Source organism: Homo sapiens, chromosome 14 (assembly GCF_000001405.40).
Source record: "Homo sapiens chromosome 14, GRCh38.p14 Primary Assembly".
Taxonomy (NCBI): Eukaryota; Metazoa; Chordata; class Mammalia; order Primates; family Hominidae; genus Homo; species Homo sapiens.
This window is the reverse complement of record NC_000014.9, coordinates 80,354,104-80,370,721: the sequence shown is the minus strand read 5'-3', so window position 1 is coordinate 80,370,721 and position 16,618 is coordinate 80,354,104. Positions and strand designations below refer to the sequence as shown.

Below are 16,618 nucleotides of genomic sequence, written 5' to 3'. Positions count from 1 at the left end.
GTAGAAAACACCCAAATGCCCATCAACTGATGAATGGATAAACAAATTGTGGTATATCCATACAATAGAATATTCCTAAGCCAAAAAAAGAAATGAAATACTGACTCATGCTTCAAGATGGATGACTCTTAAAAACGTTATGCTAAATGAATGAAGCTGGACACATAAGGCAGCATATTGTATGATTTCATTTTTATGAAATGTTTAGAGTAGCTAAATCCACAGTACAGGAAATAGATTAGTGATTGTGAGAGGCCATGGGAAAGGGAATGGGATTAACTGCTAATGGGCATGGTTTTTTGTTTTTTTTTTGAGGGGGGATGATAAAGATGTTCTGGAATTATAGTAGTAATGGTTGCACAACTTTGTGAATATACTAAAAACCAATGAATTGTATACATTAAAAATGTTGATTTTATGCTATTTTATGGTGTATCATCTTATGATACATAATAAAAGTATAACATTGGTTTTTGTCCATAAATTTTATACTTTAAATGTATCAATTTTGTGGTATATGATCAGCTAGACCTACATCTATTTATCTATTTATAATAAAACATACAGAGATGAGCATACTTCTATCCCCCAAGGTTGTGTCTTCATTTTAGTAATGTTCTTCCTTTTTCTACGTTTTCACTACCCTTTTCATAAAGGGAGACTCTGTAGTGGTAAACTAAAGTCTTAGGGGAACAAAATTTTAAGCAGCAAAAGTAACATTTAAGTTCTTAAAAAATTGTCTTTTTCATTTATAGTAATCTTAGGCTTACAGAAAGTTTGCAAAGGTAGTACAAAGAAATCTTATGTTTCCTTCACTCATTTTCTTCTAATGTCAGCATCTTATATAACCATGTGACTGAAAATAAGAAATTAACATTCGTATATTATTATTAATTAAACTCCAGCCTTTATTAAGAATGTATCAATTTTTCCATGAGTGTCCTTTTTCTTTTCTTTTTTTTATTATACTTTAAGTTTTAGGGTACATGTGCACAACGTGCAGGTCTGTTACATATGTATACATGTGCCGTGTTGGTGTGCTGCACCCATTAACTCATCATTTAACATTAGGTATATCTCCTAATGGTATCCCTCCCCCCTCCCCCCACCCCACAACAGGCCCTGGTGTGTGATGTTCCCCTTCCTGTGACCACGTGTTCTCATTGTTCGATTCCCACCTGTGAGTGAGAACATGCAGTGTTTGTTTTTTGTCCTTGTGATAGTTTGCTGAGAATGATGGTTTCCAGCTTCATCCATGTCCCTACAAAGGACATGAACTCATCATTTTTTATGGCTGCATAGTATTCCATGGTGTATATGTGCCACATTTTCTTAATCCAGTCTATCATTGTTGGACATTTGGGTTGGTTCCAATTCTTTGCTATTGTGAATAGTGCCTCAATAAACATGCGTGTACATGTGTCTTTATAGTAGAATGAGTTATAATCCTTTGGATATATACCGAATAATGGGATGGCTGGGTCAAATGGTATTTCTAGTTCTAGATCCCTGAGGAATCGCCACACTGACTTCCACAATGGTTGAACTAGTTTAGAGTCCCACCAACAGTGTAAAAGTGTTCCTATTTCTCCACATCCTCTCCAGCACCTGTTGTTTCCTGACTTTTTAATGATTGCCATTCTAACTGGTGTGAGATGGTATCTCATTGTGGTTTTGATTTGCATTTCTCTGATGGCCAGTGATGATGATTATCTCAATAGATACAGAAAAGGCCTTTGACAAAATTCAACAACGCTTCATGCTAAAAACTCTCAGTAAATTAGGTATTGATGGGATGTATCTCAAAATAATAAAAGCTATTTATGACAAACCCACAGCCGATATCATACTGAATGGGAAAAAAACTGGAAGCATTCCCTTTGAAAACTGGCACAAGACAGGGATGCCCTCTCTCAACACTCCTATTCAACATAGTGTTGGAAGTTCTGGCCAGGGCAATTAGGCAGGAGAAAGAAATAAAGGGTATTCAATTAGGAAAAGAAGAAGTCAAATTGTCCCTGTTTGCAGATGACATGATTGTATATCTAGAAAACCCTGTCATCTCAGCCCAAAACCTCCTTAAGCTGATAAGCAACTTCAGCAAAGTCTCAGGATACAAAATCAATGTGCAAAAATCACAAGCATTCTTATACACCAATAACAGACAAACAGAGAGCCAAATCATGAGTGAACTCCCATTCACAATTGCTTCAAAGAGAATAAAATACCTAGGAATCCAACTTACAAGGGATGCGAAGGACCTCTTCAAGGAGAACTACAGACCACTGCTCAATGAAATACAAGAGGATACAAACAAATGGAAGAACATTCCATGCTCATGGGTAGGAAGAATCAATATCGTGAAAATGGCCATACTGCCCAAGGTAATTTATAGATTCAATGCCATCCCCATCAAGCTACCAATGACTTTCTTCACAGAACTGGAAAAAACTACTTTAAAGTTCATATGGAATCAAAAAAGAGCCCGCATCGCCAAGTCAATCCTAAGCCAAAAGAACAAAGCTGGAGACATCACACTACCTGACTTCAAATTATACTACAAGGCTACAGTAACCGAAACAGCACGTTACTGGTACCAAAACAGAGATATAGACCAATGGAACAGAACAGAGCCCTCAGAAATAATGCCGCATATCTACAACTATCTGATCTTTGACAAACCTGAGAAAAACAAGCAATGGGGAAAGGATTCCCTATTTAATAAATGGTGCTGGGAAAACTGGCTAGCCATATGTAGAAAGCTCAAACTGGATCCCTTCCTTACACCTTATACAAAAATTAATTCAAGATGGATTAAAGACTTAAATGTTAGACCTAAAACCATAAAAACCCTAGAAGAAAACCTAGGCAATACCATTCAGGACATAGGCACGGGCAAGGACTTCATGTCTAAAACACCAAAAGCAATGGCAACAAAAGCCAAAATTGACAAATGGGATCTAATTAAACTAAAGAGCTTCTGCACAGCAAAAGAAACTACCATCAGAGTGAATAGGCAACATACAGAATGGGAGAAAATTTTTGCAACCTACTCATCTGACAAAGGGCTAATATCCAGAATCTACAAAGAACTCAAACACATTTACATGAAAAAAACAAACAACCCCATCAAAAAGTGGGTGAAGGATATGAACAGACACTTCTCAAAAGAAGACGTTTATGCAGCTAAAAGACACATGAAAAAATGCTCATCATCACTGGTCATCAGAGTGTCCTTTTTCTGTACCCAGAGTCAATCCAGGATACCACGATGCATTTAGTTGTCACATTTTTATGGTATCCCCTGGTCTGTGACAGTTTCTCATTCTTTTCTTGCTTTCTGTGACCTTGATAATTTTGAAGAGAGAAGTGCAGATATTTTATAGAATATTTTTCAATATGGGTTTGTCTGTTGTTTTTCTCATGATTATATTGGGGTTATGAGTATGAGGGCCACATACCACAGAGGTAATATGCCTTTCTCAGCGTGTCATATTAGTGTGTATATGGTATCAAGATGAATGCTCATTGGTGATGTTAATCTTGATCACTCCCTTTAGCTAGTGTTTTCTGGGTTTCTCCACTATAAGTTTATGTTTTTTGCCTTTTCATACTCAGTAAGCTAGTCACTAAATCCAGCTCTCACCCTTAAAGCAGGGGGTGGTTAATTCCACCTCCTGGAAAGGTATGTATGTAGTGTCTACAAGTATTATTTAGAATTTTTCCTCATGTAAGATTTGTCTTTTTTCCTCCATGTATTTATTCACTCATTTATTTATATCAGTATGGACTCATGTATATTTTATACTTTGTGCTATAATCTAATTCTATGTTTTATATTTTGTTGTTAAAACGTTTCAGCTTTGGCCATTGTAGCTCTTCCAGGTTAGTTCCTTTTACATAAACTATCCTTTTAAAAAATATTTTTATTTTTAAATATTTTTAGCACTTCCTTACTTTCTGACACTACAGAATGCTCCTAGGCTCGTCTTGTATACCCCGTATTCCAGACATAGAATCGGCCCCAGTTCCATTGTTGGAGAATGGTATTAGAAACCAAGATCCAGGTGCTGGGTGTAAAAGCAGTAATGTTTGTATAATGGGAATACGCCAGCTTGAAGGAGAGCAAGGCATCAGCTTTGTAGTGGAAGAAAGAGGAGAGAACTAAGGGAGTGGGTTAGGTGGTAACTGAGGATTGAATGAGGTGCCAAAGCTGGAGCTGAAACATGGCACTACTGGGTTGCCCGTGTGGAACCCTGTACTTAAATGTTCATGGCAGCACAACATGGACAGTTTAAATTGAGGATGAGACACTGGGGTAAATATATCACAAGCCAGCTTTGAAATTGAATATGATATGCAATTTAACTAGAAAAATTCAAACCTGATCTTTCAGACCCGCTTTTATTTGGATTCTCACAACTGAGTATTGTTTGATCCTGCTATCTTTTCACCGAGTTTTCTTTCTGTGGATGAAGACATCTCAAATAGGTACTCAAAATATAAATGAAGGTAATAATGATAATGATAACTAGGGAGTGCTATTATAAGCAATTCTGAAGCTCCTATTTGTGTTTATTACGAGTTTTAAGTTTTGTCCAGGCAGAGAAAAATTGGATGCCAGGCATGGGAGTAGCTGTGGTGGGGAGGTTGGAAGGGGAGGATGGTGTTGAAGTCACGGTACAGCAGGCAGAGAAAGCAATGCAATTCTGTTTTCTCTAAACCTCAAGTGCAGAGGCTGCTTATGCGGGAGACTGTAAAAGGGGAATCTGCTTAATAGGAGAGCAACGAGGTGGACGATCTTTGCTATTCTTATATTAATGTTTGTGTACCTCACAAAATACATTTTGAAAGTGCTGGCAGACTTTTTTTTTTTTTTTAGAATAAAAGCTGGAGAGTGCAGTTTTTTAGCTGCTGAAGATTCTGAGCTGTGCTGTAGATTAGCTAGACATTACAAAAAGCCCCTCCTGAGTCAGCTAAACAGTGAAATGAAGTTCCTCAAAGTTGGTTTAGCACTGGTGAGTAGCGTAATAACTGAGGAATGGTGGATTCAGTCAATTTAGAGGATAGGACAAATGTTTTGATTCCACCTTCAAAGTTACCTGGGGAACCTAAGAACTTGCTATAATTAACAATACATTGTCATACTTATAGAATCGCAGAAACCTTTTTCCTGGAGGAAAAAGATGGTATAGTTTGACTTAAACAAAAGTAAGTGGGATATTCCATGTGATCCATTAAACTTTATTTTTCTGTTTACCTCTCTCAGGGACAGCATGGCTATGTCACCCTAGCCCAGGGCTGGGATGTATCCTGCCTCTGCTATTAACTTGCTGTATGGATGTCTGCTTACTGTGCTTCTTATGAGCTAAATTGTGTGCCCCCAAAATCCCCCCAAATGTATATGTTGAAATCCTAACCCCCAGTACCTAAGAATTTAACTGTATTTTGAGACAGCATCATTAAAGAGGTAATTTAATTAAAATGAGGTCATTAGGTAGGCCCTAATCCCATTTGACTGTTGTGCTTATAAGAAAAAGACATTGGGACACAGGTATATACAGAGGGAAGATGATGTGAAAAGACATGGGGAGAAGACAGCCATTTACAAACCAAGGAGGCAGTCCTGGAATAGATCTTTCCCTCATAGCCCTCAGAAAGAGGCAATCTTGCTGACCCGTTGACCTCAGACTTCAAGCCTCCAGAACTGTGATAAGATAAATATCTGTTTTTTTTTTTAAGTCACCCAGTCTCTTGTGCTTTGTTATGGCATACCAAGTGCTATGTGAAAAAATCTCAGGAATCCTTTGTGAGAAAGAGAAAACTAATATTTGTTGAGAGTCAACATATAGAGAAACATAAATTTATTTTATAACGTTAATCTTCCCAAGTACCCATGAAATGGGCACTATCTTCGTTATATTGATGAAGAAACAGACAATTGGAGAGATTGGGTAATTCGTGTAAAACCAAAGAGCTGGTGGTGAATAGATTTCAACTGGGTCTCAACCTCTTCTAGCCCTTGCCATTTTTACTCTGTCACAGGAAAATAAAATACAACAAGCAACCCAAGCTCAACCCTTGCACTCCTACAGTGACTTTAATAAGGATATTCTTGCTTATTTAGGAGTCAGATAAAGCCCAAAGAAACTTTGATCTGGAAATAATTGAAACCTCTCGATGAGAGGAACCCCCTGGGTGACAAACCCTCTTAATAATCCATGAGTTACTTTGGTCTCTCACTAGATGGTGCTAGTGCCTATTTCTATGTCATAAGACAGTATGGTGCTAGGATCTCAAACCAACACTTTTGGTGCTCTGTCCATTATCTAATTTGGCTTATAATTTCTTTCTTATGGTTGTTCATGTTTCTGTACCTATAATAAAGAAGGGAGTCCTTAAAAGCACCAAAGTGAAAGTGTCATCCACCATATTGACATGGCAGGAAATATACACAATGACTACAGTGTGAATGATATTTTATCCAATGAGCATTAGACCCTTTTTATTCATGGAGAGGTATGGAATATACTAATTTGTGGTTGAACTCATAGAGAACAAAAAGAGTTAAAATTATTATATCTTTAGTTCTTCTAGAGATTGATTCTCTCTGGGGAGAAGCGTATAACTGCTCTCTGCCCTAGTTTTCTCATTTGTAAAATAGAAATAAAATGTGGGACACTTTGCTTCAAGGAGCACTCAGAAGATGAATGGGGTAGTGTCTCTTAAAATACTCCGTGGTTGTTGGAGAAATAGAGTTATATCCTTTTTGTAAATAGCACAAGAATGATGAGGCCCACAACTTGACTTTGACCCATCAATGCTTATTTGAATCTTCAAACCCCACTTGATCACAGATTACCCTGAAGGACTTTACTGCTGTTTTTTTGCCCAGTAAAATAAAAGATCATCCATATGATGGAAACTACCATTTGTGGGATGGATTAATGGGTGTGTTTCAGTTTCGCAGTGGAGAAATTTGTCCTGCTTTCCAGAAGTCATTTTATCTTTATTTTTCTCCAAGTTCAAGTGCTTTGGTATGGGTACCATTTGTGGCAAGGTTTCTAGATAGTCTCTTTAGTCACAGTCAACAGAGAAATTTTCCACTGTACTTTCTTTTCAACATTTTTTCTAGATATATTTAGAAAAGCACACTAGAAGGTACATTTGGGGATAAAAGGCCATGGATATTTCAGATTAAAATCAGAGTTTGGAGGTGTGAAATGCGCTATGGACTGAATTACATCCTCCTCAAATCTTTACATTAAAGTCCTAACCCCCAGTGTAACTAGGGCCGATAAGGAGGTAATTAAGGTTAAATAAGGTCATAGGATGAGGCCCTGATACAATAGGATTAGTGTCCTTATAAGAAGATACACCAAAGAGCTCTCTCCCACATCATGAGAACATGGCCAGATGTTTCCCCACCCCTGCCTACAAGCTAGGAACAGAGGCTTCACTGGAAACCGACCATGCTGCCAACCTCATCTGAGACTTCTGAGAGCCTCTGGAGAAAATAAGTGTCTGTTGTCTAAGACAACTAGTCTATGGTATTTTATTACGGTAGCCAGAGCATAGTAATACAAAATACCTCATAACTGTATGAAAGGGGTTGGCACACTTTTGCTGTGAAGGGTCGTATAAATTAAATATTTTAGGATTTGTGGGTTGTACAGCCTCTGTTACGTTTGCTCTGCTCTGAGATTCTGACACGAAAGTAGCCATAAAAATGAATGCAGTATGTAGAAAATGAATGTAGAAAAATGAATGAGGCCAGGTTCCAGTAAAACTTTGTTTATGAAAACAGACAGTGGGCCATATTTGGTCACAAGCTATGTAGTTTGCTGACTCTTATTCTAAGAAAACAGAAAAATAACTTAAAGTAGAAATATGCTGTTTTTTTCCTCAAAGGAAGAGTTCCATTATTATTAACCAACAAAAAAATGACAATCAGTTGTCTTTTCCACTTTTAAAAAAGTTGTAATGTGTGATTCCCATTAGTAATAATAATATAGCTGCTTTCAGGCTAGAGGTACATGGACTAATGGTTATTTCTAAAGCAAAGCCACATAAATTTTGAATCTCTTAATTTAAAATTTTTCCTAATCCAATGAAAATAATTTCTTTGGTGCTTTATTTTTTCCTGTATGAAATATTCAACAGAAAATTACACACAAACACACAAGTAAGCTGTCTTTCTTTGTTATACATAGCAAGTTTGTTGCCTAGCCCTTTTGTGTCTCCTTATGTGCCAATTCCAGCAGTTACCCTTCATCCCCCTTCTTCCCAGTGTGGCCAAGTTCTTAGCTCGGTTTCTCCTTTTCCTATTCATGGACTGTGATTATTTGAAAATGTTGCCTCGTTGGCCTCCATGACTGTACGATGGCTGTCAAAGTGTTCTACTGGATTGTTCTGCAACAACCACAACCATTGGTCACGGGGTGCTTATTATGTCTCAGGAATGAGGCCAACTATTTTCAAAATATAATCTCATTTAATTATTATAACATTTCTATAAGATAGGTATTATTATGTCCATTTTGTAGATGAAGACACTGAAGTACAGGGTAGTTAAGTAAAGGGACCGTAATCGAATAATCGGCAAGTAAGTAGCGGAACTTGGTTTGGAACCCAAAGTGTCTGTATTCAGAACCTGTGTTTTGATTCATTTTTCTTTGGACTTTCTGTAACGCATGCTTTCAAAATGCTCTTTTTCTTTTCTTATATCCTCATAATCCAAAAATTATAAGACACATAGAACTCCCACTCCTCCAAAAAAGCTGTGAACACTAGAGATAGGATGTATTAAGTGTTATCTTAATAAAGAGAATCTGGGTAATTTTTAAATACATTGCAGAAACTATTTTCTTGTAAAACGTTGTTTTTTTTTTTTTTTAGATCCTTTCATGTACCATCTTAGTGCCTTGTTCTCCACTGAGTTAAATATGGGTTACTCAACTCTGTGTCATTGTGTTTTTGTCTATGTCTTTCATTAAGATCTTCAGCCTCGAGACAATAGGGATGGTTTAGCTTTCTCTTAACTATAAGGGAACATGCTACCATCTAGGAAAATGGAAAGAGTGTGGGCCTCTATGTTAGGCAGAATTTGTGTTAACCTTTGATGTGCTTCACATGTTACTTAACCTCTTGGGACTTTGATGACTTTGTCTATTAAATGGGTCAATAATGTGTTCACGTCAGGGTGATTGAGATGAGAACTAACGTTTATAAAGTACATAGCCTTGTGCCTGGCACATGATAGTTTCTTAATAAACGTTAAGCTGCCGATGACACTGATCAGATGATGGGTATCTTCAGAATGAATATAAATCAGTCAAGTGAGAATAGATTATTGTTCTATTTCATGAGAAGTGAGCTAGAGCCATATGTGTGTATTTTTGAGATTGTTTTTGTGTGTTTAGGAAAAATATAGTTTTCTTATTTGGAATAAAAAATGACATTCTGAAAGTCCTTGATATGACAGTGAGTTCTTTCAGAGCAGTTTGCTATTAGAGGGAAGAGCTGAGACACATGGCTTAGATTTATCTTTGAAATACACAACTTAACTTTTAAATGAAGGGGAAAAATACTTGGGGCAAAATGTGTTTTTCATTTTTTTAAAGACTAAACACTACGCATGTCTCTCACTCTTCTGCATATGCACTCGGCATATACTTGGGTTAATGGAAAGAGGGTTATGAGCTGTTTTGAGTATTGAATGGGACATATTTATACTAAATAAAAACTTATTGTTTATTGGAAATTCGAGTTTAACTGGTCATCCTACATTTTATCTGGCAACCCTGCCCTCAGAATATGACAAAGACAGATGTCAGGGCAGAGTCAAGGCTCCAAGGCACATTGTGGTGACAGCAGAAATAGACACAATTGTGGTGAGAGGGTCTTGAAAGTTAGAACTCTGCCTCAGTAAAGGAAAGCTGCTAGATATCCTGGCTAGAAACCCTAGGATCCTCATGCTTAAAACAGAGAGCTGTTGAACTGGAGCACTAGTGCTTAAACTTATGGCCTGAATATCTAACATATGTCAATGAGACTTCCTTTTCTAACTATGTCTTCCATGTTTCCTCCCCAACTTCTTTCTCATTAGAACCCCAACCTCTTTTAGTATATTGAGTTACCTAAATAACTAATTAACTCTATGTGTCTTTAACTTCATATATTCTCTTCTTCCCACTATTGACTTGTCTCTTTCCCTCTTCTCAGAGACAGACATCTTGAAAGAATAGTCCCCAATGGTTGTATCTCTTTGTTCTCTCCACCTTTCAGTCTACTGTGGTCTGGTTAAGATTACCAACAATATCTATCAGTCTACACTGTATGTCCACATATACACACTATTTAGCTCTCATTTATAAGAGAGAACATGCAATATTTTTCTTTCTAAGTTGTTTCACTTAAGATAATGGCCTCCAGTTTCATCCGTGTTGCTGCAAAAGACATGATTTCATTTTTATGGCTGAATAGTATTCCATTGGTGTGATCATGGCTCAGTGCAAGTCTCAACCTCCAGGGCTCAGGTGATCTTTCCTTCTCAGCCTCCCGGGTAGCTGAGACTTCAGGCACATGGCACTATGCCTGGCTAATTTTTTTTTTGTATTTTTTGTAGAGATGGGGTTTCACCGTGTTGCCCAGGCTGGTCTTGAGCTCCAGGACTCAAGCGATCCTTCCACCTTGGCTTCCCAAAGTGCTGGGATTATAGGCATGAGCCACTGTGCCTGGCCAACACACACACACACACACACACACACACACACACCATATATATATGAAATCTCACACACACATATGTAAAAATCTTATATATATGAAATCTCACACACATATACATATATAAAAATCATATATATATATGAAATCACACACACACACACACACACACACACACACTCACACACCATGTTTTCTTTATCCAGTAATTCGTTGCTGGACACTTAGGTTAATTCCGTATTTTTGCTCTTGTGAATAATGCTGCGATAAACATATGAGTGCAGGTATGTTTTTGGTGTAACATATAGACATAGAGTATGGACTAATATACACTGGAGACTTGGAAAAGTGCGCGCTGGGATTGGGGTAGATGATGAGAAATTACTTAATGAATATAATGTCCATTATCCAAGTGATGGATACATTAAAAGCCCAGACTTCACCACCACGCAATATATCCACATAACAAAATGGCACTTGTACCCCTTAAATGTAGACCAAAAATAAAAGAGTACTAATAACCTCTTGACTGTTAAATCAAATGGATGTTTTAGGATTTCCCATACCTGACCTCTCTGTAGCATTTGGCACTGCTCATGCCCCACTCCCTCCTCCTCTATTCACTTTATACACTCATTTCCTTTGGCTTCTGTAACATCCCATCAACCTTCGCAGATTCCTCTTCCTCTGCAGTTTTTTTATCTTGCAAATTTAGGAGAATTTTCGCCTAGCTTTCTGTTCCATCTGCAAATTATCCTTTTACCGGTTTATATACTATCATGACTTTATTTGGCATCTGTATGGGAATGAATTACCATTGTATATCTATAGCCAGATCTTTCTTCTGGGCTCCACACTGGTATTTCCAACTATATCATACTTATAGTTGACATTCCATGGGCACTTCATATTCAATATGCCCTAAACAACTGTTGTTCCTATATCAGCAGAGCATAAAAAGAATGCCATGCATTTATTTATTAAATTTATATTTTTGAGATGAGGTCTTACTTTGCACCCAGGCTGGAGGGCTGGTGTGATCGTGGCTCAATGTAAGTCTTAACCTCCAGGTCTCAGGTGATCCTTCCTCCTCAGCCTCCCGGGTAGCTGAGACTTCAGGCACATGCCACTATGCCTGGCTAATGTTTTTGTGTTTTTTGTAGAGACACGGTTTCACCGTGTTGTCCAGGCTGGTCTTGAACTCCTGGACTCAAGCAGTTCTTCCACCTTGGCCTCCCAAAGTGCTAGGATTACAGGCCTAAGCCACTGCATCTGGCCACCATTTATTTTGTCCTGAAAACCAAGAAGGTGGTAAAGGAAGCAAAATTTAATTCCTTTAAAAAGCTGTATTTCTCAGATAAATATTTTTAAAACGTAGACAGACATTAGTCTTTTGTAATTAGAATCACTTTTTGGAAAGGTATTTGTCTGGGTTATGGCTGATGCTGTCTAGTATCCTTTCTCTCTGACCATATGCCTTTACAAAAGGTATTCCCACAGTCTAAGGTTGTTTACTGATTGTCCCAGAGACAAATCCTCTTGATAATATTCTATGTACTTTTTTTTGGTTGTATAGAATTTTTGATATACTTCTCTATTTTATCACAACAAGTGTTTATGACAAAGTCATTGCTGTGGTTACAATGGTTAGCACAGTTTGTGCTCATGAGTGTTCCAGAAACCATGTGGTCATGGTGTATTCCTTCCTCACGCACCTTCTGCCAATTAAACAAGAGAGATTTATCAGAGACCTCAGTTAAGGCTGCATACACCGGAATACTTATGTGCATTGCGGAGGCACCCCGATTTACCGAGTGCTCTGCCACTCAAGGATCACCCTGAACATGTCTTGTAGAGATAACTACATTTCCCCAGTGATTTACATTGTAATTTCTGGGATGTTTGCCCTTATTAAAAATGTTGGCACTGAAGCAATTAAAATCATTCTTTAATGTGAAAAACTCTGCAGTAGTATGTTTATTACAAAAGAAGAGCCTCTGAAAAATTATTTGTAAACTACCAAAAACAAGTGAAGTGCCTTGCTTGATCTTCCTTAATTTTATACACTTCCAAGATAAGAATTTACACTAGAAACAAATAAATGACAAAATGATATTTATTTTAATTTCCACAATTTCATTAGTTTGGTTTTGAGAAAGAAAGAGTGGGGTGAAGACCATTAAAAGAGATTGTTTTAGTCAGTTTTGGCTGCTGTAACAAAATACCATAGACTGGGTGTCTTTACAAACAGCAGATATTTATTTCTCACAGTCTGGAGACTGAAAGTCTGAGATCAGGGTGCCAGTACTGCCAGGTGCTATCAGGTGAAGGCTGTCTTCCTGGCTTGCAGATGGCTGTCTTCTTGCTATATTCTCATCTGCTGGAGAGAGAGCAACAGCTCTCTGGTCTCTTCTTATAAGGGCACTAATCACATCATGTGGACTCTACCCTCCTGACTGCATCTAAGCCTATTTTCCTCCTGAAGGCCCCATGTCCTAATACCATTACAGTGGAGGTTAGAGCTTCATCATATAAATTTAGAGGGGACACAACATTCACTCCATAACAGGGATAGTCTCCCTGCTATGAAACTATTTCCATATCTATAAATTGGTAGTAAAAGCCTTCAGTTTTGAGATGAAAAAGGATAGAGTAAGCTTTTTTTAGAACAAACATTTAAACTGGGAATCAAGTCTGAATAGGGAATTTGTTGTTGTGTTCGTCTCAAGAAATCCACGGCATTGAATGAGTCAATGCCAGAGAAGTTTTTGTGTTCTTTGGACTATTGTAAACTGGAATGAAAAAAGTATATAACCCTTGATAAAGGCTATCTTCTCTAGCATTTTGACTTGACCTTGTGTCATTTCTCTGTATACAGTTAACGTGGACCCAGAATAAAGTTGAGAAAAGTCAGGTAAAGAATTCAGCAGATTGTAATAAATCAGGTCAGACTTTCCATTCTTTTAAAATCTTTCTGGTGTTGCTATTTTCTGTAGATTTTTACCATTCCAGTAGAGTTTAGAATTATGACATTTAGGAAAAGAACTAATTTTCTGGGGTAAACTTTACTCTATTTTTAGTGAAAAAGCCTCATAAAGACAAGACATATATATGAATGTCCATCGCAGCATTATTCATCACAGCTGAAAACTATAAATAATCTAAATGACTACCAATTGGTAAATGGGTAAACATACAATTAAATACTGCTCAGCAATATAAAGGAGTGAATTACTGGTGAGCTGTAACACAGTTTCTTTAGTGAAAGAATCCTAATGCATAAGACTCTGTATTACAGAATTACGTGTATATAATATATCCAGAAAAGACAAAGGTATAGAGGCAGAAAGCAGATCAGTGGCCACTAGGGGCCAGGGTGGGAACAAGGATTAGCTGCAAGTGAGGTGCACAAAGGGACTTTTGGGGGTAATGGAAATGTTCTAAAACTGTATTGTAGTGACGGGTATGTAGCTCTATAAATTTTCTAAAAATCATTCAGTTGTACACTTGCAATGGGAGAATTTATGCTATATAAATTATACCTCAATAAAGCTATAAAAATGAACTTCTAATGAAGTTTCTTGTTCTTCATTAATGAAAGACTGATGAAAACCCGTATCTTAAGAAACTGTCTTTATTGTGGTCCAGCCTAGATTTCTCTTCTTTTAAAGAATTATGCTGACCTTAACACTGTGATCTTTTCACAAATCCTTTGGTGTCCATTCAAAAGCATTCCTGTTTTGTGGTATATGTGCAGGATGTGCAGGTTTGTTACATAGACAAACGTGTGACATGGTGATTTGCTCCACCTATCAACCCACCACCTAGGTATTAAGTCCAGCACGCATTAGCTCTTTTCCCCAATGCTGTCCCTGCCACACCCTCCCATGGATAGGCCCCTGTGAGTACTGTTCCCCTCCCTGTGTCCGTGTGTTCTCATTGTTCAGCTTCCACTTATAAGTGAGAACAAGTGGTGTTTGGTTTTCTGTTCCTGTGTTAGTTTGTTGAGGGTAATGTCTTCCAGCTTCACCCATGTCCCTGCAAAGGACATGGTCTCATTCTTTTCAATAAAGTAATAAAAAAAAATTAAAAATAATGGGCAAATCTGAAAACAAAGCAAAACGAAAACAAAAACAAAAGCATTCCTGGCCAACTGAACACCGATTTTCCTTGGAAAGATGGAGGGTAGTGGGGAGATGAGGCTACTCAGACCACAAAATTATCGGTGACTTTCAGGCACAAGCTGCTTAACAGAATGACAGGAATTGTAAACACATTAATTGCGAGGCACAGGATGAGGACCTCTGTCTTTCCTGGCACTGTCAGTCAGACAAAACTGAAGTGCGGCCTTGCAAATCAGTCTAATAACCTCGCTTCCTTCCCATTATGAGCCACAGGGGTACAGTTCCTGACATATCAGAATTCTTGAATAATGTCCATCAGCACTTTGCTATCGACATGCTGCAGATTGAGCGTGTTCTTGTTTGAAGAACACTCTGCTCATCCCTGAATCAGAATCTTTAGAGAAAATGCAAAGCGCTGTTGAAAAGCAGACAATAAACAGTAATGGAGCAAGAACGGGCCATGTTAGTGCCGTTAGTCACAGTAAATGTATCTGATATTTTTTTTCTTAAGCTATAACTCTTGCCATCCCTCCTTTGTGCAGGGAGCAAGTGATGTTTATAAACTTGTCTGAATAGCCAATCTTTCACAAGGCTTTCCACATACTAATTCAGTTAATAGAATCAAATGTCTAAGTGTAGTTCACAAAGAGAACATAAATCAAAATGCAATTCTTGCCAATTTTCCTGTAACCTGAAAGATGGAAAATAACGCCTAATTTTCTACAACTGACATAAAAGCCTACTGATTAGGTCATCATGAATGATACATATGGAGGCACTGAGTTATATTATTTGATTTGAGACCTAATACAAACAGAAGGGATACTGCCAGGCAGGAGAGCCCATTAAAACACTGCTATCAGCAACACTTGTGTCATAAAAAGCTGAACATCTTATATAACACTTCACTTGAGTACAGCTTTTAGGAGATGTGATTAGGCTGTGGTACATCTTCACCTGTAAAAGCCCAAGCCATTCTGTAATGTAAACCTTTAGACAAATAAAATCACAACATTGGAAACTGTAAGAGAAAGTAAGTTAAATATATATGTATATAAACATATACATATATTTTTATATATGTATATAAATTTATACATAATATAAATTTATATAAATTTATACATAATATAAATTTATATAAATTTATACATAATATAAATTTATATAAATTTATATGTATATATACATATAAATTTATATGTATATATACATATATACCCATATATACATGTATATATATGTATATGTATATATACATATACATATATATAAAGGTCCTAACCTTAAGGAAATTGAATTTCATTTCAGAGATAATATATTCTTTTTTAAAAAGCTATATCATTAAAACATGATGAATGCCAAGACAAACAAAATAGTTCATGCTTTCTGAGAGAGTTGAATATTAGTTGGAAGAGTTAAGGAAAAAATCCAGGAGGAGGTGGAACGACAGGTGTATCTTACATTGAGTGAAACCTAGGCAGCTATAAAAGATGGTGAGAGGCATTCTCGGTAGGTGCTGAATATCAAGGAGGAAATACTAAAATGTTTTGAGAACAGTGGTCTGGCTATAGCGCGAAGTACATGGCGATTCATGGAATATAAAATTGGAAGGTATCTTGAATGCTAAAATGACAGGTTTAGATTTTATGCCATAGATGGTGAACCACTGAAGGTTTTCTATGTTGGGTTTTGCACAGGGATGTGACATTATGCAGATGATATTCTAAAATTAATGTGCCAACTGTATACAGAGTAGATTAGGA

General features: G+C 37.2%; 1 long non-coding RNA gene across 1 annotated transcript in view; it reads right to left on the bottom strand.

The window, feature by feature from the left end:
• The window catches only part of DIO2-AS1 (DIO2 antisense RNA 1), a 244,049-nt gene that overhangs the window by 84,746 nt on the left and 142,685 nt on the right, over positions 1-16,618 (bottom strand). The window contains exon 3 of the long non-coding RNA NR_038355.1: positions 11,740-12,021. This is a non-coding gene — a long non-coding RNA (DIO2 antisense RNA 1). The remainder of the gene's footprint in view (positions 1-11,739; positions 12,022-16,618) is intronic.